At 36.6% G+C, this 24964-nt stretch overlaps 2 long non-coding RNA genes across 3 annotated transcripts in view, besides 1 other annotated feature; both read left to right on the forward strand.

Moving 5' to 3' along the window:
- LOC105373643 (uncharacterized) overlaps positions 1 to 24964 on the forward strand; it is a 144473-nt gene that overhangs the window by 23976 nt on the left and 95533 nt on the right. The gene's annotated exons all lie outside the window — the stretch shown is intronic.
- LOC105373641 (uncharacterized) lies at positions 778 to 5504 on the forward strand. The gene is made up of 3 exons (XR_923372.2): positions 778 to 1348; positions 3271 to 3479; positions 4617 to 5504. It is a non-coding gene; the product is annotated as an uncharacterized LOC105373641 (long non-coding RNA).
- Positions 791 to 1085: an enhancer, noted in NCBI's record as "tiled region #11055; HepG2 Activating DNase matched - State 8:EnhW". NCBI's record gives its function as "activates a minimal TATA promoter and a strong SV40 promoter by Sharpr-MPRA in HepG2 cells {active_cell/tissue: HepG2}" and the evidence as "EXISTENCE:reporter gene assay evidence [ECO:0000049][PMID:27701403]".

Raw genomic sequence — 24964 nt, forward strand, 5'->3', positions numbered from 1 at the left:
TGTGATAAATATTACATTTCATCTTAAAAAAGACAATCCCTTAAAGCCTAAAGAATTCTGTGCTTACTCAACCACTAGGAAAGGTTTAATAATATCATTAATATGGTTTTTGTAATTTCAAAACTATTACTAAGTTCTTATGTGCTTTTATGGGAAGAAAAACATGAGTCAACTTTTTAAATATCTTAACTGTACAATTTTTTTAGATAGGTTATAGGAATAATCAATAATATATTATAAACTTACACTAGGATGAAATCTAGTTCTTATATAATCTTGTCATTTATTCAGTTGATTTGGTCTGTCATGAGGTAGAGAATTGTAACAACTTTTTGAGTACGAGACTGTTATACATTCAGAGTAAAATAATTTGGATTTTTAAAGCATTTTTTTTACAGACTCTGTAGAGACTTGACAAAAATGGGAAAATGTAAGTATCTTAGCTTCATTTTAAGCTGATCTTTGTAAAGTGGAGTTCTTCCAAAGTAAGCATTTATACTACCATTTTGAGGAAAATGTAATATTGAAATCTGTATGACTGTGCATAAACTTAATCCATGTGTGCCTATGTTTAGCAACCAGCTAGAGAATTAATATCCATCCCTTCTCTAGTGATAAAGACTCCAATTTTTTACAACATTGTAAAGCCTTCTTAACTAAATCATGGTTATGATAATAAATTCATATCTTGAAGGGCTTAAACTCAAGAGAATAAAAAACTTAATAATGAAAGTTAATGGATTACAATCCATTTAAACTGTGCATTCAGAAAGACTTTGTTTCATTGGGGAGCTTTCTCTAGGTTAATAAATGAGAATCTTTTGTCCTGCATGTAAAAAATAACCCTGGATAACCACACAAGCAAGGTCAGCTCACTGATCAAAATACTAACAGGGAAGTTATGGACATGAGGTGCTTTAAGGGCACTTTATCTCCAGACCTGGACCATGACCTTGACACAGGACATTTTTTTCCCTCTCTTACAAAATAGCTATTTACAGTGAGTTTGTTTTTGAATGACTCATTTGAGAAAAGAAGTAGCTTTTCACACCTAAAGATGAAAAATACCTGTAAGGGAAAAATGTCAAGTTACTCCCTCATCTACTTATTGTTTGTGGGTCTCAAAAACACAAGCCACTTTGATGGTGGGATTAAATGAGTCAGGAAACACAGGATTTGGCCATGAGTCACTTAAGCTGAGTTTTGGAGTTAGGTCCCGTAAACCCCAAGAGATCCTCTTTGTTCCATAGGCACACCAACTGCCTTACTGCTTTAGAATGCTCTGAAGGTGATTTAACTGACCCGTACCAAACTGACCAGCCACTCTGAACTGGGTGCCCTGACCCAGGTGCGTGTCTAAAGATGCACGTAGGACGAGTTAGAAATTAGGAATTGTGAATAAGAAATACATAAATTGGGAAAATGGACAAGGTTTCACTCAAGAGGTGGAACTGGAAGGGAAAACTGTGACTCCCCTGAAAGAAAATAGCCATGAGTTAGGCGGAAGTCTGGGAGACAGGACCAATCTGCATATTAGACCCTAGAGGCAGAGAGAGCAGGGGTTATGGCAAAGTGTAAGGCTGTGTCTGGCCATTAGAGGACACACACACACACACACACACCCCTCCCAGTCCCAATCCTGAGTATGTAGCTTTGGGAAAGGGAAGACCATGACACATGGCAAAGAGCTACATCACTGTGAGCCAGTGATGGGCAGTGCAACAATGTTGTGTAGTGCAACGTCCTTTAGAAAGAGCTGGTTTTAAAAGTGAAGAAGAAAAAAATAACAACAGTAGAATATCAGCCCTTAAAAAATCTACCATGACAGAGGTAGTGGTAATAGCAAAGATGACCCTAAACATATCTGATTTTATGCATAGGTGGTATAAATCTCAAGCCACATAATTCAGGTATATTGAGAATGATAACTTGTTCTATTACTCAATTTTATATTTTACATCCTCGTTCAGCCGGAATGGAAGAAATTGAAATAATAATTTATCAGGGTCTTTCTTGATCCATGCATCTGTGTTCAAGTTGCAGGAGCCTAATGAACTGCCAAAGGGTCATTTCTAGTTATTTCTTCACTCCTGTGGAATGCCAGGTCATAATTTATTGTTCTTTAACTAGCCCTTTTGTGCCCCAGAGCTCTCAGTGACACATTAGTGACATACTTGGGGTCACAGGGATTAGTTTGCCATGCTCTGCTTTCCTGGGAGAGCAGAAACCTCACTGAGGATGCCTGAAACATAGAGATAGATTGATGTAGATAGACAGATAGATAGATAGATAGATAAGCAGATAGATTGGCAGATAGATAATAGATAGATGATAGATAGGTAGATAGATAAATAGATCAGCAGGTAGATTGGGAGATAGATAGATAGATAGATAGATAGATAGATAGATAGATAATAGATAGATTGGCAGGTAGTTAGACAGATAGATAATGACTCTGTCATATGAGTGAGACTTCCAGCTCATAGTGATAATGACGCTCAAGAGTACCGAGTTCTGAATTACCTTGCATGCTGTAGTAGTATACTACTGGATGAAGCTGAGAAGAGATCACATCCATTTTAACCCATTATTTAAGATCTTGGAGTGACTGCCATGGTGTCCTCACAACCCAGTAAATGCTCATCTTGTAGAACTTTCTACAGTATGGCCATTGAAATGCTACTTAGCACAGATCCAGGTGGTCAGAAATCCTAAAATGTGAGAGACACATAACTTTGTTATTAATAATAATGTTAAATAAACTCGGTCGATACTTGACCGAAGGCTATGGAGCATTAAACAAATGTAGATCAAAAGCACCTAGAGGCTTCATGTATATCTAATTTTTCTTTTTAGGTGCTCTTTCTAGTAACCATAAGACAACTAATATTTAAGATAGTATTTATTAAAACTAAAAACAAATAGCTGTATATTATATCAATAAGGTATTTCCATTTAGTTTGCTCAAAACTTGTGCATATGGCAACAATTAAAGCTAAATATGCAATAGTAGTTGTATAAAGTAGTTAGGTTTACTTGTTTATAACTCTTTTAGGTATACAAGTTAGTGTTAGGGAAACAACTCAATCCCTATAGGAAACTCAAGGTTTCCTACTGCATCTAAGAAAGAGCAAAACTGGTAGGAAACAGGGCAAAAATACTTTAATATCCTCTATAATAGTATCAAACAATTATTATGTGTCAAGTTTTATTCAACATGTAACTCATTTAATCTTTAATGAGTAATAGACTTATTATCTTCATTTACAGATAAGGAAACTGAGGCACTGAGAGGCTGAATAGCTTGTCCAAGTCAGTGGATGAGCCAAGATTTACAACCTGGCAGACTGCTGTAGTCTATGAACTTACCTTCTTCCCTCCACACCCCAGATACTCCAGTTTCCTTGGATCTTGTAGTTAACATGACTTCAAAGGCACTAGGGCTTCAAAGTGGCATTTAAATTTAAGAATAGTCAAAGGTAATAGTTGCAGTGTTGAGTCAAATTATTAGAGATTTTAAATAAATTTGTTTACTTATTTGTAATAATGAAAATATTAATTTGTTCAATTGATTGAAGACTTCACATATCAGGATATATTATTTAGGTATGTATAGTTGCTGAACATTTTTTTATGGCCTTGTCTAAAGAATTTCTCCCTTCTTAGTGACTAGTTGTGGTCAATTTGTACCTGAGTTTATGATAATTTCCAAAGCATCATATGGAAATATGAAGTTCAAGACATTAATTGGGGTCTTTAGGCAAAACCAAAAATGTAAGTTTAATTTACTTTCCTAAAGAAATCCACAGATCAAATCTTCCAATCATATATAATTTTAGAAAACGTGGTATGTGGTATGGAGTGAAATTTTGAGTCAGTAGACTAGAATATGTGTTTGCTTGCAGTGTGAACTTGGGAAAGCTACTTAACTTCTCTAACCCTTAATTTCCTAATTGTAAAATACAAATAAAAACGTGAGTCAGGGCCAGGTGCGGTGGCTCACGTCTGTAATCCCAGCACTTTGGAAGGCCGAGGCGGGCGGATCACGAGGTCAGGAGATCGAGACCATCCTGGCTAATACGGTGAAACCCCGTCTCTGCTAAAAAAATACAAAAAAATTAGCCGGGCGTGTGGCGGGCGCCTGTAGTCTCAGCTACTCGGGAGGCTGAGGCAGGAGAATGGCGGGAACCCAGGAGGCGGAGCTTGCGGTGAGCCGAGATCCCGCCACTGCACTCCAGCCTGGATGACAGAGCGAGACTCCGTCTCAAAAAAAAAAAAAAAAAAAAAAAATGTGAGTCAGATGAGTTGGCTCACACCCATAATCCCAGCACTTTGGGAGGCTGAGGAAGGTGGATTGCTTGAGTCCAGGAGTTCGAGACCAGCCTGGGCAACATAGGGAGACTTTGTCTCTACAAAAAGTTATCCAGGCATGGTGGCATGCACCTGTGTTCCAAGCTATTCAGGAGGCTGAGTTGGGAGAATTGCTTGAGCCTGGGAGCTCGAAGTTGCAGTGGGCCATGATGGCACCACTGCACACCAGCCTGGGCAACAGACTGAGACCTTGTTTTTTTTGTTTTGTTTTTTTTTTTGTTTTTGTTTTTTAAATGTCTATATAGGTCTCTGTGGAGATAAATGAGATAAAATACAAAGGCATCCTGAAAAATGGTGGTACCTGCTCAAGTAATATTAGCTACTATCCCTATTTGAGCAAGAACATTGTAATGGCACCTAGAAAAATGTTTTGTCGTCAAATCACTGAGGTCAGCCAATAAGGTATCTTTTGGGCCTGAAAAGTTCTTGTCATGACTCTCATGAATTGCAGAAAAGTATACCCTCTTTGGTCAGAGTGCCTGGATTTAAATCCTGTATCTGCCACTTACTAGCTTGTGATTCTGGGCAAGTTGCTTAATGTCTCTGTATTTCTGTTTGCTCACTTATATAATTTGTGTAATAATAGTACTCTCATTGGTTGTTATGAAGATAAAATAAGTTAATATTTATAGATTTCGCACAGCAGTGATTTACACACAATTACTACTACATAGGTGTTTGTTAAGTAAATACCTTCACAATGTCTTGCTCATTTAAACTCTAATAATGGTATTAGACTGTATGGTTTATTTAGTCACATACATTTCTGGCATTTTTTGGTTTATGGCTCAAATAGAAAATTATATCATACCTTGTAGAGGTAAGCAGAAGTACAAGCTTTCGGATATTCTGCAAATATTATTTTACATAGCTGAATAGTTCACCTTCATGATGCTGACAAGTCTTGGTTGATTTATTATTTTTGGAATGTGGTGTCCATTGTGTATTTAAACTGAAATAATACAAGTAAAATTGTGAATTTGTTATATATTCTCAAATTTTGAATTTGTTATATATTCTCAATTTTGAATTTGTTATATATTCTCAAAGATGTCTGACATTATATATCATCCACATAATAATTTGAGTTCATACACGAAGGAGAAAGCCTGAATAAAAGTGCAGTTACCTTGGTGGTGAGTATTGTGATTATTACACACAAACACACACACACACACACACATCTTATTTCTGTAATAATGGAGTATTATAGAAATAAGTAATCAAGGGTCCAAATCTGCAATTTCCTGCAATCGTCAAGATTCTTGCAAATCTGCAATCTGTTGCAAACCAATAAAATTGCTCCTCAAATATAAACCCCATTCTCCATGTTGGATTCAGAGATTCTAATCTTGTTTTTCATCCCAGTGTATGATTAGATGCTGGCTGATTGAGTTTCTCAGACAGTGATTAGACGCCTTGTCAAGGTTACAGTCAGTAACTCAAACACTCCATCTCGTATCATTTAGAGTTGGAAGGTGGTAGCTGCATTTATTTCTGTTAAGTGAGCATTGGAAATAAATGGCAGGGTTTACTTTCCAACTTAACGCTTTTGTGAAGGTGAATAATGGATAGCTAAAAGCACTGGTGATATCTTAACAAAAAAGAATGGGAACTTGGATTTAGCCTGCTCTATCTGTCTAAAATAATATTCCCTGTTTTTACCTGTTACTGACCTCTCAGTAGTACCCTATTCTGTAAGCTTATTTTTTGGCAAAAACAAAAAATGTCAGAATTAAAGAAGAGATCATTAAGTATTTCTTCTGTGGAGTGTGAACCATGTCATATACATCCTTAATATATTTTGTCAGAAGGTAACATCTACTTTGAGAGTGAAATTTAAAAATAAATCTTTTAAGAATATAGTTATGAATGGAGGCTTAAAAGGAGTGCTTTCTAGATCAAACCGAAGTCCACAAAAATATGATGTGATGATAATATGTCTGGGCTTCAACACAGAAAGAACAAGCATAGTTTCTTTGTAAGAAGTTACTGATGAGCATCACAATAACCAACTCAGGTGCATATGCCATCAAGAGAGAATACAGCTCTTTCTAGTTTCCTTGTAGAAAAATGGCCATTTTGTAAATAGCAAGAAATGACTTTCAAAACTTTGATGGAAAGAATGTGATCTCTGCCCGCTGCTATTCAGTAGTGATTCTCCTGACTTGTGTTGAACGGGGAGCAGGGTGGTTAAACATGACCAACCCATTGACTTTAAAGCACAACAAAATATGAGTTTTTAAACTGCCTACTCCCTTTGGCCACTCCTGCCTCTTGGTTTAACTATTGATCTCATTATCAAAATCAAGCTAAATTACCCTAGCTGCTAAGGTTTGTGAGAAAGCACAGCAAGGGAAAGGTTAGTGGAACCCATCTCTTGACTGCTGAATGCCTGGGGTCCTTTTACATGGCAGGATAATACATTGTTCCCTATGCTTTCGTTGCCACAATCCTACTGTTCTGCAACCCAGTATATAATTTTTAAATCTATCTCATTATTAGCACATTTCGATAAAGTTCAAATTTGTATAGACTCAAAGCCATTAACATTTTGTAGCACATTCTGGGTGGCACATTTCTCATTCAGAAAAATGTCTACAGAGGAACGCTTTTCTGATAAATTACACTCCTTGGTTCATCATTTAAAACTTGAGACATCCACCTGCATATACATCTTATTTAAAGTGTCAAAAGAGGGCAAAAAATTGCACTGACATAAAGAGCCTTGTTACTTAAACTTCAGGGATCACTGCATCCATTTTCCTTTTTCTCTGTTAACCGTTTTTTCCCCTACTTTTCTCTCTGTTCATTCTTTTTCAAATGGGAACCAATAAGGAGACAGAGAGAATGGGTAAGTGTCTTTTAAAACATAGTATTTAAACCCAATATTTGAAGGAAAAATATCAAAATGATTTGTTCACGCATAAAGAGGGCAACCTAGAAATTATCTAGATACTTAGAAGCATTCTTTTGCAGATTCATAGCATTGCAAAATAATAAAATTATCTTCAGATAGATAAAGCTGAAAAAAACAATCGAAGTATTTTTATTTATATAGGAAGACCCAATAAAACCGTTAAGGTCTGGAGAGGTATTTTTGGAATTTGAAAATTGAATGTTTATATCTTTTACTACTGTTTAGGGATTTGTTATGGAATAAATTATAAAAGAACATCAATGTCATGTGGCTTAGTAGAGGCACTGTATAATTGCTTGCTTTATATACATCTGGGTATATTTTGGAATATAATGGATAATCATCTCCAAAGTGTCATGGGAAAGGCTCTGCTGAATGACTCCATTTTCTTATTTTGATACTGTACAAGTTACCACTTGAGATTTATTGTCTTAGTGGTTCTCAAACTTTGCTGGACTCTAATTTGCTTAGGAGGCTTGTTAACAAGGATGCCCAGAGCTCAAATGCAGAAGAGCCTGGGATACAGTCTTGACTTCTGCAATCTTATACACTTCTTATATGATTCTGATGGACACTAAATTTGGGAAATATTGAGTTCATGGAATTCTTCAGGGAATTTCTGTTAAACACAAATGTTTTTGGATATATTATCTTGTAGCACATTATCACATGCTAGATTTAATACTTTTTCTGATTTATTTCTGCCTCATAAGATGGTGCTCAGGAAAAAGAACAGTGGTGTGTGATAAACTTGCTGGAAGGAGAGGCGGGCATTGGGGAATTGAGTGGGAGGATGGAGAAAACTTTGATTTAAAGCATTTGCCAATTCCTCTGCTGTAAATATTCTTATCATGGCTGACGTTAAGCTGCTAACGGATTGACAACCGCTCATGAAATATTGGAATATCTAACAATCATCCCTTGTGAGCCAATGAGATTTGGCTTCTGCATTCCACTGAGACTATGAGTAATTATTTTTCAGAAGAAGGGAAGATAGGCTCTGACAATATGGTCTAAGGTCAATAAAGTGAGGCCAGAATGTGATGCTGTGTTGAAGACACCTAGGGAAGGACTATGGTTAAAAAAAACACATACACACAAGAAGGGAACTGTGTTTTAAACAGGGTTTTATTTGGGGCATGGTTCTCTGGGCCTTTTGAGAAGGCTGTATGGATGGGGAAACTCCAGGAGGATGGCTGAGGTCAGGAGTCAGGTTAATGGTTTTGTGTAGGCAGCCAGAAAAGAGGCATTTTAGCGAAGAGTAGATGAGCCATTAACCAGAAACCTAACGGGCAAAAAATAAAAAAATAAAAATAAAGAAGTAGATCAGTCAAGATGCCAAAGCCAGAGGATGTAGAGAGCTAAAGTCTCTTGGGCAGACAAAGGCATGCAAAGATAAGACAAGTTACAGATGAGACTGAATGCCAATTCAGGGCAAATATCAGGAACCCAGAGACTAATTGTGCGCTACATTTTTGCAGTGTTAAGAACAAAGGATCTGTTAACAGAGAAGAGCTGTGTGGATAACTAAAACCACTGAAATACAGAGATAAAATCCATATAAAGGGGAAACTCAAATTATCTTAACTAGAGTGATGACTTCCTAAACTGCAATATCAGTGTCATGGTGTGAACTTTCTGACATACACTAAGGATACCTCTTCAATTCTTATGTCTGTGACTTGGAAGCCACTTTTTGATGAAAGATTTTCCTTGTGGTTTAATATTTGAGGTTCCTTTTTCAAATACTATATCAAAAAATAGCTGCACAGCTTCCTGAAATAACACTAACATAACATTCTCTGTTAGGGATCTTCAATTAATTTATTAGCCTTATACTCACAGGGGCAGATCCTTGGAATGTGTATGAGCTTTTGTTCTTTCATCTGAGAGTCACTTATAGAACATGAAGGATTATTACTTTCTCTACTTCCCAGTCCCCTCAGGATGAAGAAGTGAGCCCTCTTATCCCAGGCAGAAAAATGAAGGATCAATGATTCATGACATCTTAAAAGTATCATAGGGGTTCATGAACATGATGGGAGGACAAACAGTTTTCCTTTTTCTCAAAGAAATGCCTGTTATAACTGTATAAAAAACTGATATAATATGTTAGGATAAAGATACTATTTCAAGAAGCAATTTGCCTCTTTGTTATAATGAGAATAAGTCCATATAATGAATTATAAGGAAAAGGAAATAGAGCTGATTTTTATCCACAGAAACAAATGTTGAATGAATAGCCTTATTACGAATGTATACTCATTTTTTTATTTGATTTTGTCCAAATGGTTTCTCACCCTGACACTCATCTTTCAATATGATCCAGCATAAGGATTTAGAGACAAACAGTAATGTCTCTTATTGGTTTTGTATGTGAGCTGCTTCCCCAAACCAAATTGCTTCATGAAAAAGAATAGGAGATTTGATATCACAGAATTAAGAGGAATATGCTATTTACAACTGCCAGCCTTGAGAATCTCAGATCAAAAGCCAATCTAAAACAATACCTTGAGATATTAAGGCAGGGTGTTTTACACCATACATTCCAAGAACATACTTTATTTTCCACAGCTTTCCTCTGTCCTTTAATTTGGATCCTACTAATTTAATTTGTGTAATGATCATGACAAGGGTTGGGTTAGAATGAAATCTTTCATTTACAATAATTTAACAATAGTCAGAAACAGCATAGTACAAAGAAATTTTGTTTGCCTGATAATCATAAAATAATAATATGAAAAGGTAATGTACTTTAAGCTTCTTGGTAATCAGAGGAAAAGAAAACATTATTGATTGTATGATTAGTATCAGAAGTGAGAAAGCACACCAATTTTTCAGATAAAATATTATTTTCTCCTTGAATTCTAAATTAATTTATATGAGAGATACTGAATACCATCACAATTTAAGCCCCTCAATAATTATAGTAAAGGTAGTATGCCCTTAGGTTGATAATTCCACAAAAGACGAATCATGTAGTTCACACACATGGCTTTGTATTCAAACAGCGGATCTTAGTACTCTGCAAAAATCAAATTCTATAATAACTGCCAAAGTTATAATAGATAATAGTCTCCTAATTTCTTCATTCTTGATGGGTTCTCTTTTTTAAAAATAAAAAGCAAAATCTATTAGCTGGTGATCTTAGTATATGAGCACCTGTATACATAAGAATAGCATCTTTTGACATTATTGTACAAGGGGATGACAAAAGACAGCTTTACTTCCTCTCGAGTTTGCCCTATATGAAAATCTATCTACTTTTCCAGAAAAGTTGTATTGGAGTTCATCAAAGCCATTAGAATTGACATGTAAACATATCAGTGAATTTTTATGCATGTTAAAGACAATAATGCTTTAATCATATTATTTTACAATCAAAGAATTATACCAATTGCAGGTAACAGACTTATATATCACTACAAGCATTCCGTTTTTTTTTTCCAGAAGTACATCAAAGAGGTAATCTTTGTGTTCAGAATAGCATAATTGTAACTTAAATTAATTTTCTCAAGGAGAAAATAAAAATAATTACAGAGAATGAGACGGATTCAGTTGTTTTGCAAATAACATTTGCAGTTATTTAAGAAAGGACTTTTTTGAAAAAAATTGTGTGAGTTAAAAATGACTATAGATAATGGCTGTAGTGTTCTTACAGTTTCTAAATACTATATTTTAAATCTATCATCAGTTGTAGATAATTGTTTGAAAGATAAAGACACAGTTCCTAACTATGAAACAGAAAAAGTGATGATTTTTATAAAATTTGAAACTTTTTTAGAGACCAAAAATCTGAATATCTGAAAGAGAAGATTTGAGCTTCTATCATCTTGGAGGTCTTTTTCTAGAAATATCTTTGGGTTTGTGCTGACTAGAGGAGACAATAAGTATAACCCCACCTTGCAGTGACCAGATTGAACAGTTTAAATCCTACCTATTAACAAATGAAGGCTACTGTGAAATAATAACAATACATGTGAATAAAATCGTAACAGCACACTAAATGAGTTCTTTTAGGAGGAAATAGTTCTGTGAGCAGACGCTAAATCAACAATGATTATATTATCCTAAAAGTGTCTATCAACAGCTCTTTTTAGGTTACTGTAACGTCCTGAACAATATAGCAAAATATGCTGAAAAGTAAAAGAGTAAGATTAAAAATATATTTTAAAACAAAACCCCGAAATCCTGAATTCTGACCTTGTCACTGAAAAAGAAATTGAACTAGATAGATTGAACTAAACACTATTATTCTATTAATTTGCATTTGAGATCAAATATTCATAGTTGTATATGGATGTAAATCTGTCTCAATAGCCAATAAAGAAACTAGATTGTTCTGTGCCTGGCTTATTTCACTTAAAATAATGATCTCTAGTTTCATCCATGTTGTTTAAAATGACTGGATCACATTCTCTCTTAAGGCTAAATAGTACTCCATTGTACATAACTACCACATTTTCTTTGCCCATTCATCTGTCGATGGACACTTAGGTTGCTTCCAAATCTTAGCTATTGTAAACAGTGCTGCAATGAACAGAGTGCAGATATCTCTTTGATACACTGATGTCCTTTGTTGGGGGTATACTCCCAGCATTGAGATTGCTGGATCATATAGTAGCTCAATTTTTAATTTTTTGAGGAACTTCCAAAATGTTTTTGAATTCTGTACTCAAAATGGCCAGTGAAACAGTTATGGTGCCTTTATTTGCAAAAATCACAATCTATCGGACTGCTGAACAGCAAGAGCTCACTGTCTGGTTCCTCACTTGGCAGGTGCCATTGGCCTGTGGTTTTGTCTCTGAACTGGGATTTCTGGTAAACAACATGTTTGGAGGGTTCTTGCTTAATTTTACCCCACAGACTCAAAACTGTTGGTCTGAGTTCAGTAAATGTGTAAACACGAATAACTAGTAAAGCATTTGACATCAAGCAGTTGCTTATTTTGGTCTAAGCATTTGACCTCCAAAAGTATATTGAAAGTTCCAGCCATTAACCAGCTTGGGGGAAATAACAGAATCTAATACATTGTGCTTTGCTGAACAGAATCTAATACATTGTGCTTTGCTGAAATACATGTGTACATGCTTCACTATGTACACAGTGAAGTGCATAGGAAGTTTAAGACAACAGATTTTTGTTGTGTTGTTGTTGTTAAATGATAGATAAAAATAGCCGTTTGTCCTCAAAATTAATTTTATGTTTTTAAAATTGAACCATTAACTTTCTTAGTGTTTTGTTTGTGAACTTTGTATATTACACACAGCTTGTCAATACAACTATCATTATCAACTTTAGAAAAGTAAGAGATATGATATAGAGCAGGGATCCCCAACCCCCAGCCACAGACCAGTACCAGTCCTCCCGCTGTGCACCTGGTCCATGGCCTGTTAGGAACCTGGCCGCACAGCAGGAGATGAGTAGCTGGCAAGCACACATAACTGCCTTAGCTCTGCCTCCTGTCAGATCATCATCAGCAGCATTAGACTCTCATAGGTGTGCAAACCCTATTGTAAACTGTGCATGCAAGGGATCTAGGTTTCAAGCTCCTTATGAGAATCTCATGTCTGATGATCTGAGATGGAACAGTTTCATCCTGAAACCATCCCCTATCCCACCACAAGTTTCATGGAAAAAATTGTCTTCCACAAAACTGTCCCTGTTGCCAAAACGGTTGGGGACTGCTGATATAGAGAATGAACAACAATGTTAAAATTAGTAATGTGCCTCCTGTCACTTTTCCTGAGTTTATACTTTTACTGTTTTGGCAAACACAAGTGGATCTCTTTGTCATTCAAGTTTGTTTGCCCCATGCTTTCAGGTACTTCCCTAGACTGCCCATATTCAAATCTAATTCCCTCTGCTTAAATACATATAAAGACATACATGAGACAAAATAGAGAATTGAAGGAAGTGAGAGCTATGGAGGGTGCTTGTATATTATCCCAATTGTCTACTGCTGGGTTACAAACAACCCAACACTCAGTTGCTAGAACAGTAATAACAATCATTTATTTTGTTGCAAATCTGCAGTTTGGAGATGTTTCTGAAGAGATGTTTATCTCAGCTTTGTGAGGCCTCAGCTGGGATTTCTCAGCCACAGCTGGAGGACCCATTCTTACAATGGCTTACACACAAGCCTAGTAAGTTGTCAGGGGCTGTCAGCTGGGCAATCAGTCGGGGCTATTGCTGGGGCCTCCCATCTTGTCCATACAGGCTTTTCCATGGTACTGCCTTTACTTTCTCAACACATGGATGCAAAAGTAAGTGTTCAAGAGGCAAAGTAGAAGCTGATAGTCTCTTATGGGCCTAGAAATTGGTACACACCAGCTTTTGGCATATTCCTATTGACCAAGCAGTTCTGCACCCACCAAGATTCAAGAGGTAGGAACATTGATGCTACCACTGTTTGGGAAAGTTATAAAATATTTTTGACCTCCCTTAATCTATCACATATATATTGCCCACCTTGATATCTCAGAATGTTAAATGCTTCTGCCTGTAGATGAAGACACAGTAGGTGACGAACTACACTGTTATTTTTCTGCATTCAAATTAATTTTCCCAATAGCTTCCCAGGGTCTCTACAGTCTAGTTATTTAATTTGAGAGCTGAAATTTGTCTTAGGATAATTTCCTTGTTTTAATGATGAGAAGAAAGAAAAAATAATAGTTATTTGATGGCAAAATTCAGATGGAACCTAGATTTCTAAAAGAGTTCCCTCTCCTCCATTTGGATTATGCATTTTCTTCAGAAAGTTTTCATTAACCTGTACCTAGAAAACCTAGAATGTCTCAACATCATCACAAGATAAATTTACCAGATTGGCCAGCTGTCTCCTAACGAAGCTCTGAGTGAATAAAATGTATGTATTTGGAAGGTGAAAGAGAAAGAGTGCACTGAATGCTAATCACTAGACCACGAGGGAAAAAAGGTGAAAGAAATCCTAGAATGATTGAAGACATATGTAAATAATTTATGGATAAGGATTGGGGTAGTTGGTGAATAGAATCAGTGAGGTAGCAGTAGAAGGAAACATACAAACCTTGGTTGATTCAAATGTATGGAGGGGAGAAGTGAAAAATGAATTTTGAGGGAAATTTCTGTTTTGCCCTGAGGACAAAAAGAGAAGATTTAACAGGGCTTAGTTTAGTTTAATTCGAGCACTAACCAGAATGAAAGTATAATTATGATATTTTGATCTGTAAATATATAGGACTGAAAGCTCTTTTGCATATGAAATGAAAATGATATGCACTATGCTTTGTTGAAGAATAATAAGAGATGTCTTAAGTATCACATAAGCCCATCTAAATGCCTTTTACATAGTGTCTTCTTTTATTCAATTCTAGAAGATTTTAAAAACTGCTTGAAATTGATTAGGCCACCTTGGTTCCCTAACATAATAAAGCTTAGAAAATAGATTTCACTGTGCTGCAGTATATTGTAATTTAAACTGAGTGATTTTCTAGCCACCACAGGTAAATTATGAGCCAAACCACAGTATGGCCTTAGGTGAACCTATTTGAGAAACGAGTAACTTACATGTTAACTTGTTTTAGCAGAGAAAGCACAGAAGATGCTATTTATTAACCTTGTTCTCTGCAGGTAGAGAATTTGTATGTTACAGTGCATCTGAGTGGTTGGACTGAATTGACCAATTTGGAAAAATTGACCAGTCACCTCAGAGCTAGGCATACACAACCAGGTTTAATTATAATTTAGATGTCGATATCAGCGTTTTCCCCAGAACAGTTGAGGTGATTTGCCGCTGTGTTATATTAAACTAGGATAAGAGTCAACCAAAGCATTCAACTATTTTGTTTCCTGTGGGTAGCACAAAAATAACCTATATTAAAAGCTCTATCTATAATAGTTGTATAATCACCACAAGTAATAATATTTTAAAATTAGCAGCTGACATATGTCAGGACTTTTAGCTGAAAGCAGTAGACATTGACTGTGGCTGATTTTAGAAAATGTTGGGGTTATGCAAAGGAATGTCTGAAAAAATGCCAGAAATCCAGGCTCAGGTGTTTGTGATAAAGCCCCAAACCCTATCATAGATCTGGCCCAGTGATAAAGCCCCAGACCCTACCATAGATCTGGTCCAGTAATGATACCAGGGGGCTAACCTCTAAGCAGACACATCTTCCACAGCTTTTACCATGGGCACACAAGCATGGAACTCTGCAGCTAGGAAGGCTGCCATGGCTTCCCACATATCACCCAAATGAATGGTGATGGGTCCTAGCTTTTGTCTGGATCAGTACAACTCATGGGTGGAGCCAAAGTGTCTTAGTCAGCCAATGCTACCATAAAAAAGTTATAGACTGGTGGCTTAAACAAACAACATTTTTATTTTCTCACAATTCTGGAGGTTGAAATTTGGAAGTTTGGAAATTGGAGGACATACCTTGGAGTGTTCTTGATGGAGACAATTCTTGATGCCAGTTAAGATTGGACTCCTCTCCGTGAGTGGTTTTGAAAAGTAACGTAAGTATTCACAGCAATCAAGAGTTCAGCTCAGAAATAAATAGACGGACAGGAAACAACTTTTTTTGCAATCATTCTGTCCCATTGCCTTGGATCAGGCCTGTCACTAGAGTGGGTAAACAATGGCAGGGGATCCAATGCCTGCTTGTGTACAGTTAAACTAATCCTTATATCACAATTGTGCCCTATAATCAGAAGTCACTTGACACTGGCACGAGAGTGAAAGAAAATGATTTGAACCTGGAATTCTGTAATTGGCTATGCTAGCATTCTAACAAAAGGGATAAATGAGATTTTTCCAAACAGGTGTATACCACAGAAAGAGAAAAAATAAATCCATGGGGAAAAAAAAGTGTGAGTGAATGATTTAGTAAATCTTATATTTAACTCTGAACATTTATTTTGCTTTACATTTAAAAATATTGTTGTCTATTTTCTACTAAAAACCTAAGACATAATCAAAATAAGAAGAAGCTGCACTGAATGAATGCTTATATTTTTATTTTCTGGTTGGGAAATAGACTGTATAAATATTTATTAAGACTTATTTAATAAATGTGTTAGAAATGTGAAAGTAGCCACTAGATTACAATACTATATCTACATATCAGATCATTAGAAGGAAAAGTTAGAATTAAGAAAACAGAGTCAAAAAGGCAGAAAGGTAAGAAAAGGAGTAAGAAAATTGAACAAAAAATTTAAGATAAAATATCAGGAATAATGCAAAATGCATCAATAATCACACTAAAATAGAATGAATTACATCTTTTATTAGAAGTAAATTCTCATTTGAATTTTGGTTAAAAAATAAACACCTCATAAAAGACAAAGTTTGACAATAACACAAAATTTGAATATAATGCAATGTTAAAACATTAGAAGGCAGATGCTGAATAAAATTACAGAGATGTAGCAATACTAACATTAGACTGAACATTTTTCATTATATATATATTCAGCGGGATTTTAAAGAAGGATAAAAAGAGGTGTTTAATAATAATAAATGTTATTATCCACTCAAAACACATTAGTCACAAATATTTATGTACCTAATAAAAATAGTATTAAAATATATTAATAGCTTTGAATTTTTTTTTTTTTTGACACTGTGTCTTGCTTTGTCACCCAGGCTGGAGTGCAGTGATGCGATCTTGGCTCACTGCAACCTCTGCCTCCCGGGTTCAAGTGATTCTCCTGCCTTAGCCTCCTGAGTTCAAGTGATTCTCTTGCCTCAGCCTCCTGAGTATCTGGTATTACAGGAGCACGACACTACGCCTGGCTGATTTTTGTATTTTTAGTGGAGATGGGGTTTCACCATGTCGGTCAGGCTGGTCTTGAACTCCTGACCTCTTGATCCACCCGCCTAAGCCTCCCAAAGTGCTAGGATTACAGGCGTGAGCCCCCATGCCTGGCCAATAGCTTTGAATTTAAAACACCTAGTGAAACATGAAAATATTTGACAAATCACAATCACCGTGGCAGACTTCAGCAAATTTTTCTCAACAATTTTAAGATCAAGAAATTATACCAAAGGTTGACTAATGGGAATAAAGTCTGATATGATAAAAAATTTCCTTCATAGAGTGAAAATTTCTAAAACACAGCTCAATGTAGGAAGGATAGAAGCAGTTCATAAAAGAATACAAGTTAAACAGTTAGTAAGCATTTAAATAGATGTACAAGAGCATTAATAACTAGAGAAATGCATATGTAAACACTTTTTTAACTCTATCAAACTTTAAAGAGTGTGGCTGGACACGGTGGCTCACGCCTGTAATCCCAACACTTTGGAAGGCCGAGGCGGGCAGATCACGAGGTCAGGAGATCGAGACCATCCTGGCTAACACGGTGAAACCCCGTCTCTACTAAAAATACAAAAAAAAACAGCCGGGCGTGGTGGCGGGCACCTGTAGTCCCAGCTGCTTGGGAGGCTGAGGCAGGAGAAGGGGAGTGAACCTGGAAGGCGGAACTTGCAGTGAGCCGAGATCGTGCCACTGCACTCCAGCCTGGGCAACAGAGCGAGACTTCATCTCAAAAAAAGAAAACAAAACAAAACAAAACAAAACTTTAAAGAGTGTGGTAATATCCAGTGTTGGTGTGGATACAAAAAGGAGTGATCTCATAGAGTGAGATCATGATTGGTTTAGCCTAGGAGCAACTTGCCAGCGTGAGCCAAAATTAAAAACCTGAAAAAAACCCAATCTTTGATCCAGCAATTTCAATGCTATGACTGTACCCTAATGAAATATTTGTGTGTTTGTTTAAGAATGCTACTGTAACATTGCCTATATGAATGAAAAATTATAACTATTCTAAACATCTATCAATTAGGAAACCAGTTGAATAAAATTAGAGTATATTAACAAATAATTACATATATTAGCATGTAAATACTAGAAAAATTACTAGATATCTCTTGATGTCAAACTCTTAATTTTAGGAATTGCTGGGGCAGGTGGTGGAAAGCAATAAGGAAAAGGATAAGGAGTAATGTTCCTGTTTTTCTCTAAATATATATTTGAATATTTTTCAGAAAGGAAATATTAATGTGTCCTATATGTGAAATTAAAAATAACCACAGCAGGCTGAATAGATGTTTACCCCATATTACAATTAAGTGAATTGAATTATTAGGGTAACTATTAAACCAGTAATTTCAATGGCCATGATATGAATTTAGGAAGGTTCTTTTCAAGACCAGTTGAACTGTCTTTTATTAGAAATAGTTAAAAGCCTTAAAGATATTAGGTTTTAGTCATTTATATTCTTTCCCACACTTATTTGTCATTAACTAGATGCCTGTGCTTTAGCAGATTCCAAAGTATCAATGTGCCTGATTGAAGTTTGATGAACTGGTACATGTCAGTGCATTTCCAGGGTTTTCTCTATGTTGAATCAAATTTGATAGCAAGTTGTCATTCTTCCTTATGGCTCATGTCATTTGCATTTGGGGGAAATACAATTTTTTTTCTGGTAAGCATAAGTTTAAATGAAAACATTGAATTGTTTTTAGCTTCTTTCCTTTAAAATACTACATGTTAAAATATGTCAATCATGTGCACTTTTTTAAGCTTTACAAATGTTACATAATATGAACAGTTTATTCTGCCAATAACTTTAGGTAATGGAAATTTTATTGTATATTAGTTGAAATCAATCAAGTTTATAAGGCACATGATAAAAATGGAAAACAATCCAGTCATGTAACTGTAAAAACTAAATGCTGTTTTGCCTGCAGAATTGTTTGGAAATAGGTTTATTATTTCCTTATAAAAGTCAGGAGGTATTTATGATTGATGAAGAGAAAAAAATCACTACCTTAGTTAGGGATATGTAATATAAATCTGAGGTTCTGGCTAAATCTGAATAGTATTCATGGCACATAGCCTAGAGTCTTTTCCCTGGTGGTTTTACAGCTTGGGCTTTATTGTTGAACTACATCATTAGCTAACTATATCATTAGAATTGGGAGTATTAGCAATTTAGCAAATCCTAGACTGATTGCTTAGGTGCAAACCTAGATTTGTCACAAAAAGGAACTATTCATTTTTTTAGTCATCTAAACAAATCCTGCCCATCTTGGCAACTTTAGGTGTTATATCTGGATTACAAAACTCAACAAAAATGTGTAATTATGAGATTTTGTTACTGGAGAGTTTATTGTGTGTGTGTGTGTATGTGGGTGCACACTTGTATATTTGTATGCAAATGGATAAAGAACATGGAAAGAGAAAAGGATATCACAAACAGAAGAATATTTTCAGAATTGTTATCTTGTCTTCAAGATGGGGGATGATTCTCTGCACTCTTCTCTTTAATTCTTGATATTTTTGCAATTTGCCTCTGTTGCCTCAGTTTCCATGGATTGTTCAAGACAAATTAGGAAAATTGGAACAGGTCAGTAAAAATCCTCTAGGAATTTTTGTCTTCTAATAAGTGTTGTAAGTAGTGTCTAGGCATCTCCTTCTCTCTCCCACCCCACCAAGCAATTGAAGGACTAAAATATGGTAATTTTTGGAGAAAAACTATGGAAAAATTTCCAGAGTTAATGATGACAATATACAAGCAATAATTCCCATCATCGTGTGACCTCTATAATAGGGCTGTGTAATATTTCTGCTGGTTTTGTTAAGACATATAATGTTCTATGCCTAGGGGTGTTGTGGCATTAGCAGTGATTGAGTAGCTAAATATAGCAGAGGTTTCCACACCACTATTAGAAATAGTGCTCCCTGCACAAAAATTGTGGTGATATACTCATTCATATCAAAAGCTAGTACAAAAATATGAGGCCAATAAATGTCCAATAATATGTATTTCAAATAGGTAACTAGAATTATACCCATATAAGGAGTACAGTAACATCACTAAAAATATTATTGAAGTAAATTTACTGACACTCAATGTATGTAGTGGAAGAAAAAGCATTTGCTTCAAGGCAATCTGTGAAATTAACCATAATCTAGTTTTCTAAAATGTAAGATACATGTGGGTGATTTTGTATATTAAAAATGAATCTAAAAGTAATATCTTCCGTGTTGATTGGTTAGACTGGAAGCTCTGCAGGTGCCAGGGAAACTTTATTGTTAACTATTATGTCCCAGATAGCTACCACGCTATGTGGCATATAAAATATGTTCAATATATATTTGAATAATTAAATTATATTTCTAGAGCAAATAGTTTAATACCTACCAAGTAATATTTGGTTAAAAAAAGAAAGAAATTATTACTATTAATGTATATCAAGAAACAGAACTAGAAAACACCATGTAATTACCAGAAGAGTTATTCAGCTCTATAGCTTGCATGTATGGCACCTTAAGGCAATTACATGAGGTCAGATAATTAAAAGGACCCATGAAACTATATAGAAAGCTTTAATAAAGGTGAAGGATACAGTCCAACTGGAGAAAAAAAGCACAGGCAAATAGCAGAGAAGTTCTAGAAGTACAGGCCCAGATCCAGGCGCCTTGCTCAGTAACACAGGAAATACTTTATTTTGACATCATGAACCCACAAGAAACATACAAGTTACCTTAGTTTCAGGAGAGCCAAAGCACTGGTAAATGTAGCTCAGACTTGGCTAGGCAACCATATAAATCTGACACATTTTCAAAAAACAATATAAACAAGCTGGTACAGGTTGCCTTCCAATGAGTTTTGGTCTTTAAATAATCACAGTATAGTATCATTAATAACTATAGGATAGGAATAACTTTCATTTCTATCTTGGCCAAGGACAGTCAGTACCATGATTCCAGGCATTGTTGGAGATAAGAATGGGACAACTTAAGCCAGGTGCAAGTTAAACTATCCTTGCTCAGCCTTTTCATGGGAATTCGAAAAAGGCACTATCCTGGTATATCTAGTGCTTGATGAGCCAATAATCTGAAGGAACAGGTAAAGCTTTCCTCCTCTGGGATCATAGCCCCATAGACATACAGTCTCCAGTAAGGGACGGATCCAGTTGTGGACAATGACCACAGTCTCAGTCTAGCAGACACGCTTCTTAAATTGAGATTATGGTGACATCTACTCCTGAATGCAGTTGATATCAAAGGGGTCCAAACTACCCCAGTGCTATGGGGCTGTACGGTGTCTCCTTCAAAATATACATGTTGAAATCTTCCTCTCAGTACCTCAAAATATGTCTATATTTAGAGATAGGGCCTTTAGAGAGGTAATTAAGTTACAATGAGGTCTCTAGGGTGGGCCCTAATTCAACATAACTGGTGCCTTTATAAGAAGACACAGAAATACACAGAGGGAAGACCCTGTGAAGACAGGGAGAGGATGGCTACAAGCTAAGGAAAAAGGCCTTGGAAGAAACCAACCTTGCTCAGATTTGATCTTGGACTTCTAGCCTCTAGAACTCTGAGGAAATGGCTTTCCATTGCTTAAGCCACCTAGTCTGTGGTATTTGTTATAGTGGCCTGAGAAAGCTAATACAGCACATCTGTTAGTAAAGTGGAGCTCAATAAGGGTGAATGTAAGATTATTAGTGTTTGAAGAACAAGGTAAGCCGATGATGTCAAGATGGTAAAAAATTACAAAATACTTAATAAGTATAAACAAATGATTATAACAATTTCCAGCAACCATGCCATGTATAGAGTCAGGACACAAGATTCAAGAAGGTTTGTGAGATGGGACTTGACCTTGGTTTTGTAACATTTGATATGAGGCAAGGAGGTTCAAGGCAGCATTTCCAATGTAGAAGAGGCAGAACTCACAATACCAGAACTGGAGTTTCAAGTGAGCATTTGATCCCAGTCAAGAATCACATGCGAAGAAATTACAAGATGGGACACAAGGTAAGCATAGGAAAAGTAAACATAAACTTAGAGAGTAAAATGGTAATTTTACTCATTTAGGATTTGCTTTTTAAAATCCAGCCTAATTAAAATGATATTAAGAAGCAAAACAGAAATGAGGACATGTGCTGGAAGGAAAATGACAGATAGGAGTCAGGACTAAATTGCCGCTCTCACTTGGATGGACAGAGCAGTGTGTGGGGACTCAGATCGTGAACTGTTGCTCCAGAAACTACTGCAGGTACATACCAGGAAAGCTGAGAGAATCCACAGACCATTTGAAGGAAGCAGACTGCTCCTGCAGGACCCAGGAAACAGTCCAAATACTGTGAGTGCCCAAAGTGTCAAAGGGTAAAAGGGGGATCATCTGCCCCTGAACACACACCCTCACTGAGGAACCTGAAGGTCCAGATCATGGGAGAAGGATTTGACCTCACCTGGAGCTGAGATGAATTTATAGAGCCCAGCAAAATACAGAAGCAGCAGCAGGAAGAGCCCTGTGGGCTCTCTTGGTCCCCAGGGAAGCCATTTCTGACTTCGTCTTGAAATTGTCCTTGGGGAGGGCTGCCAGAGGAAATGAGAAAAGACCACAAAGAGAAGAAAACTTCCAGCTGAACTTTGTAATAATTTCAACTGAATGTAAAGTTTCCTTGATGGATCTTGGGGGAGGGGTGAATCTGGAGTGGAGACACAGCACAGAAGCCACAGTAGGCAGCGAGGTGTAAAACCTGAAAACCCTGCTTGCTTTCTAAGCCAGGAGGCTGGTAGCCTGGAACAAATTATCAGTACTGATCATCCGCTGCCTGGAAATAAACTCAGTGCTACTGGTGGGCATGGTGGGAGTGAAACCAGCCTTTTGGGCTGCATGGGAGCTAGATGAGGCCTTTGGCTGCCAGCTTTCCCCGGCTTCCCTGGCAACCTGCATAACGCAGCAGAAGCAGCCATAATCCCTCTGGGAATATAACTCCATCGGCCGAGGAACCATACCCCATACCCTATAGCAGCCACAATAAGCCCCACCCAAGGACAGTCTGAGCTCAGACACACCTAACCCTGACCCACTTGATGGTCTTTCTCTACCCACCCTGGTAGCAAAGACAAAGAGCATAATTTCTTGGGAGCTCTAGGGTCTTGTCCACCTCCAGAGCCTCCCTACACTACCACAGCGATGCTGTCTTGAAAGTGCCACCTCCTGGCAGGAGGCCAACCAACATAAAACTAGAGTAATAAACAAAACTAAGGGGACCCTCACAGAGTCCATTTCACTCCCCTGCCACCTCCACCAAAGCAGGTGCCGGTATGCATGGCTAGGAGACATGAAGATGGTTCACGTCACAGAACCCTTTGCGGAAACACACCCAGTATGAGCCTGGAGCCTGGTAGTTCCACTGGGTGGCTAGATCCAGAATTAAAAATAACAATTACTGCAGTTCGGGCCTCAAGAAGCCACATCCTTTTGGGAAGGGGCAGAATGCTACATCAAGGGAGCACCCCATGGGACAAAAGGATCTGAACAGCAGCCCTCAAACCACAGACCTTCCCTCTGACATAGTCTACCCAAATGAGAAGGAACCAGAAAAACAATTCTGGTAATATGAAAAAACAAGATTCTTTAATACACCTAAAAGATCACACTAGCTTACCAGCAATGGATCCAAACCAAGAAAAAAGCCCTTAACTGCCAGAAAATAATTCAGAAGGTTGATTATTAAGCTGATCAATGAGGCACCAGAGAAAGGTGAAGTTGAATTTAATAAAATCAAAAAGTACACAAGATATGAAGGGAAGGATCCTCAGTGAAACATACAGCATACATAAAAAATAATCACAACTTCTGGAAATGAAGGACACATTTAGAGAAATGTGAAATGCACTGGAAAGTCTCAGCAATAGAAGTGAATAAGCAGAAGAAAGAACTTCAGAGCTCGAAGACAAGGTTTTTGAATTAACCCAATCAAAGACAAATAGAAATGAATTAAAAAAAACAAAGCTTTCAAGAAGTTTGGGATTATGTTAAATGACCAAACCTAAGAATAATTGGTGTTCTTGAGGAAGAAAATAAATCTAGGTTTTGAAAAGTATATTTGAGGGAATAATCAAGGTAAGCTTCCATGGCCTTGTTGGAGATCTAGACATCCAAATACAAGAAGCTCAAAGAACACCTGAGAAATTTATCACAGAAAGACAATTGCCTAGGTACACAGTAGTCTGGTTATCTAAAGTCAAAATAAAGGAAAGAATCTTAAGAGCTCTGAGACAAAAGCACCAGTTAAACTATGAAGGAAAACCTATCAGATTAACAGCAGATTTATCAGCAGAAACCTTACAAGCTAGAAGGTATTGGGGACCTATATTCAGCCTCCTTAAACAAAACTATTGTCAACCAAGAATTTTGTATCCAGAGAAACTAAGCTTCACAAATGAAGGAAATATAGTCTTCTTCAGAAAAACAAATGCTGAGACAATTCTCCACTGCCAAACTAGCACTACAAGAACTACTAAAAGGTGCTCTAAATCTTGAAACAAATCCTTGAAACACATCAAAATAGAACCTCCTTAAAGTATACATCTCACAAGATCTATAAAACAAAAACACAATACATAAATAAATAAAACAAGGTATTCAGGACACAAATAGAATGATGAATAGAATAGTACCTCACATCCCAATACTAACATTGAATGTTAATGGTCTAAATGTTTCAATTAAAAGATACAGAATAGCAGAATGGGGAAGAATTCACAAACTAAGCATCTGTTATCTTCAAGAGACTCACCTAACACATAAGCACTAACATAAACTTAAGGTAAAGGGGTAGAAAAACATATTCCATGCAAATGAACACCAAAAGCAAGC

The sequence above is a fragment of the Homo sapiens genome, chromosome 2 (genome assembly GCF_000001405.40).
Source record: "Homo sapiens chromosome 2, GRCh38.p14 Primary Assembly".
NCBI lineage: Eukaryota > Metazoa > Chordata > Mammalia > Primates > Hominidae > Homo > Homo sapiens.